We start from the raw sequence: 4,447 nt of genomic DNA, 5'->3' as shown, positions 1-4,447 counted from the left end.
TGCCTCCTGGGTTCAAGCGATTCTCCTGCCTCAGCCTCCGCAGTAGCTGGGATTACAGGTGTGCACCACCACACTCAGCTAATTTTTGTATTATTAGTAGAGACAAGGTTTTGCCATGTTGGCCAGGCTGGTCTCAAACTCCTGACCTCAAGTGATCTGCCTGTCTCAGCCTCCCAAAGTGCTGGGATTACAGGCATGAGCCACCACACCTGACCCACATATCCTTTTTAAAAAAATTTGACACAGGGTCTCACTCTGTCACCCAGGCTGGAGTGCAATGGTATAATCTCAGCTCACTGCAACCTTCACCTCCCAGGCTCAAGCGATTCTCCCGCCTCAGCCTCCCAAGTAGCTGGGACCACAGACGAGTGCCATCATGCCCGGCTAATTTTTGTATTTTTTGTAGAGACAGGGCTTTGCTGTATTGCCCAAACTGGTCTCAAACTTGTGAGCTTAAGCAATTCTCCTGCCTCGGCCTCCCAAAGTGCTAGGATTACAGGTGTGAGCCACCACGCTCAGCCCACATAACCTATATCTACGTATCTAACAGTTACAAATCAAGCCAACAAATGCTTAAATAAAATATGTTCTTTTCCCCTGCCCTAACCAATATAACTTCAAAAAGACCTAGAAGGCCAGGTTTAATTTTGGAAATCTCAGGCTCTGGGAGTTCCAGTGTGGAACACAGCAGCCCTGGCCTCTCCACTTGCCTTCCACACACTACCCAGAATTGCCCCTTATGTGGGAGGACACCGCAGGCTGCGTGTCCAGGCTCTGTCCCTACCTCCCACACACACAGCCCCTCTGCCACCCCTGGGGCCTAGGGCAGGGCTTTTCAACCTCAGCCCCATTGACATTTTGGGCCCCATCGCTGTTTATTATGAGGCCATCCTGTGCATCGTAGGCTATTCAGCAGCCTCCTTAGCTTGTACCCCCTGCTGTAAAAACCAGAAATGTCTCCAGACCTTGCCAAATGTCTTCCAGGGTGCAAAATCGCCTCCCCTGCTTTCAGAACCACTGACCTAGGGGTACACCGTCCAGGGCCATTAGAACAGGGCATTCTGGGGTGCCAGGTACCCAGCAGGTGGTCACGAAGGGGGCCCAGGCTGTGCGGGGGGGCGGTTGTCACATTCCCTTGTGGGGAGGGGCTGGCCTGAGGAAGGCTGCTGGATGGCTGCCCTGTCTACATGCATACCCATAGCTCCAGGGAGCCCGTGGGGGCATCCAGCTCCCTCGTGGTGTGGCCCAGCTTTGATCAGTTCAAAGAGCTTCCAAACACAGCACAAGTGCATCCCCCGCCAGCAGCCTGCCAGGTACCAGCGTAAATGGCTTCCTCCTTCCTGACTGCCCATGGGGTCTTTGCAGTCCCCTGGGCCATCTCTAAGTGGTCTCCTGTCTTTACTGATGCCCCTGGCTCCTTCAGCACGTCCCCCAGGCACTGCATGGCCTCCACCGGTGCCCAGGACACTTTGGAAGGGCAAGGATGAACGCTGCTTATTTTAACAGTTCCAAGAGGTGCGCACATGCACTCAGAAAAGAGTAGCGCATCAGGACTGTGACTTCACGGTCTTAGGATGAGGATAGGTGATTCAAAGTGTTGATTTTCCTACAGGCCAAAGATGGCACAATTTAAATATTAGTAAGAAGAATGGCTACAACGAACTGAAACAAAGGAAATATGCTCAAAGCTGTGACTTTATAATGACACTTAAGCCAAAAGGAACCCTCACAAGTCACCTTGGGACAGAATGAACATGCATTATGGTTTGCCCTGGAGCATTCTGGCTCATGCCTGTTGCCCTTTCGCCCTTGGAAGTGTCCTGGTTTGGATGAGCAATTATATGGTCACCCCTGCCTTGGATTTCAAATTCATTATTTTATTTTATTTTATTTATTCATTTTTTTGAGACGGAGTCTTGCTCCGACCCCAGTCCTGGAGTGCAGTGGCATGATCTCGGCTCACCACAACCTCTACCTCCTGGGTTCAAGTGATTCTCCTGCCTCAGTCTCCTGAGAGCTGAGATTACAGATGCACATCACTACGCCTGGCTAATTTTTTGTATTTTTAGTAGAAACGGGGTTTCACCATTTTGGCCAAGCTGGTCTCAAACTCTTGACCTCAAGTGATCTGCCCGCTTCGGTCTTCCAAAGTGCTGGGATTACAAGCATAAGCCACCGTGCCTGGTCAGAATCATTATTTTAAAATCTGGTAGGCCAGGCATGGCGGCTCATGCCTGTAATCCCAGTACTTTGGGAGGCCGAGGCGGGTGGATCACCTGAGGTCAGGAGTTCAAGACTAGCCTGGCCAACATGGTGAAACCCCATCTCTACTGAAAATACAAAAATCTGGGCGTGGTGGTGGGCACCTGTAATCCCAGCTACTTGAGAGGCTGACGCGGGAGAATTGGTAGAACCTGGGAGGCAGATCCCAGCTGAGATCGTGCCACTGCACTCCAGCCTGGGCGACAGAGCGAGACTCTGTCTCAAAAACAAACAAACAGACACACCCTGTCTCCTCTCTGTGCTCCCCCAAACACAGCTGAAGCCCCAGCACTGTCTATAGAAGGATGTGTGAAGGATGTCAAGGTTCCCATGGTGTTAAAGTGACATCAAGGACAAGGATGGAAGGATGCCTGGCGCCTGCCCTCTCCCCTATGCAGTGGGGTACAGAGCACATGGGCACCGGGAACTAACTCCTTTACTGATAGCTGAGCAGCCCGGGAGGCCCGCTCAGAGTTCTGGGCCTTGCTGGTGAGATGAGAGCAGGAAGTATGGAGTGGAGTGCACACCTTCAGGCCTTCTTGATGGAGTCTCTGAATCCCCTGAAGCCAGTTCCAGGTTCAGGACCCAGGTGAGGAATGTCCTTCCAGGTGTTCAGAGAGGGAGCCCCACCATCGGGAGCTGCTCAGCACATCCCGGTGCCTCTGGTAGGACCTCAGCCTATCCTGAACATGGGGTGGGCCCTCCATGTGTCCTCAGCAGCAGGAGGGATTGGGCCCTCTTCTTGTGAATTCACTCCTGTCATGTTTCTGTCCCCAGAACCCAAGCAGCATCCTTTATTTGATTTTTAATTTTTTTTCCTTTTTGAGACAGAGTTTTCCTCTTGTCCCCCAGGCTGGAGTGCGGTGTCGCGATCTCAGCTCACTGCAAGCTCCGCCTCCCAGGTTCAAGCGATTCTCCTGCCTCAGCCTCCCAAGTAGCTGGGATTACAGGCACACACTACTACACCCAGATAATTTTTGTATTTTTAGTAGAGATGGGGGGGTTTCACCATGTTGGCCAGGTTAGTCTCGAACTCCTGACCTCAAGTGATCCGCCCACCTCAGCCTTCCAAAGTACTAGGATTACAGGTGTGAGCCACCGCACCCAGCCTAATTTTTAATTTTTAAGAATTATTATTATTATTAGAGATGGGGGTGTCTCACTATGTTGACCAGGCTGGTCTCGAACTCCTGGCCTCAAGTGATGGATCCTCCCATCTCAGCTCCCAAAGTGTTGGTATTATAGGCATGAGCCACTGCACCTGTCTAATTCTTAATTTTTTGAGTCAGTGTCTTACTTTGTGACATAAGCTGGAGTGCAGTGGTATGATGATGGCTCACTGCAGCCTCGACATTCCAGGCTCAAGCAACCCTCCTGCCTCTGCCTGTGGAGTAACTGGGACTACAAGGGCATGCTGCCCGGCTAATTTTTATATTTCTTGTACAGATGTGATCTCCCCATGTTGCCCAGGCTAGCCTCGAACTCCTGGCCTCAAGCAACCCTCCCACCTCAGCCTCCCAAAGTGCTTGGGTTAGAGGTGTGAACCACCATGCCTGGTCCCAGGCAGCATCTTGATTCCACCCTCATCCCCCACATCCAGTCAGTCCCCCGGACCTGTGGATGTCACCTGGGTCACTTCAGTACCCATCCCAGGATCCTGATGAGCCCTTGCCCCCAACCCAGCCATCTCTGCCTCTCACTTGCAGCAGGGAGAGCTCCAGCATTGGGACCTTCCCTACTCTGTGTCATCCCCCCAGGACTCAGGCCCGTGGGGGCTGCCAACGGGAGGGGAGGGACTCAGAGGCCTGAGGCTCCCATGGCCTCCACCAGCGACAGGGGGAGTCCCCACACTGTGAGCACAGTGGGGAGAGGGCTTTGCTTTGATGCAACATTTGTTGGCTTTTTAAAAAAATGTTCAAGCTGTCAAAAAAGTATGTTTGTTGAGTTTGGATGTTTGTGTTGGAATGTTATTCTCTTGAGCAACACTGAAGAGGGATGGAGATGCCTGTTCTGTGCAGCCAGCATGGCGGGCAGTGCGCTGCAGGGCTGTCCAGCAGAGATTATAAAGACACACACCGGTGGGCTTGGGGGACCCAGTGCCTGAAGCATCTGGACCTCATGACTGGGACACAGTGAACCGGCAGAATGTGGAGCCTAGGACTGTTTCTCATCAAATCCGCTAAGC

At 52.2% G+C, this 4,447-nt stretch overlaps 2 annotated features.

Moving 5' to 3' along the window:
* Positions 543–1,121: an enhancer, noted in NCBI's record as "H3K4me1 hESC enhancer chr19:30248689-30249267 (GRCh37/hg19 assembly coordinates)". NCBI's record gives its function as "activates a minimal SCP1, AML or CMV promoter by ChIP-STARR-seq in primed H9 embryonic stem cells {active_cell/tissue: H9 hESC(primed)}" and the evidence as "EXISTENCE:reporter gene assay evidence [ECO:0000049][PMID:30033119]".
* Positions 1,122–1,701: an enhancer, noted in NCBI's record as "H3K4me1 hESC enhancer chr19:30248109-30248688 (GRCh37/hg19 assembly coordinates)". NCBI's record gives its function as "activates a minimal SCP1, AML or CMV promoter by ChIP-STARR-seq in primed H9 embryonic stem cells {active_cell/tissue: H9 hESC(primed)}" and the evidence as "EXISTENCE:reporter gene assay evidence [ECO:0000049][PMID:30033119]".

This window comes from Homo sapiens, chromosome 19 (assembly GCF_000001405.40).
Source record: "Homo sapiens chromosome 19, GRCh38.p14 Primary Assembly".
Taxonomy (NCBI): Eukaryota; Metazoa; Chordata; class Mammalia; order Primates; family Hominidae; genus Homo; species Homo sapiens.
Note: the sequence above shows the minus strand (reverse complement) of the source record. Positions and strands in the feature narration are given on the sequence as shown.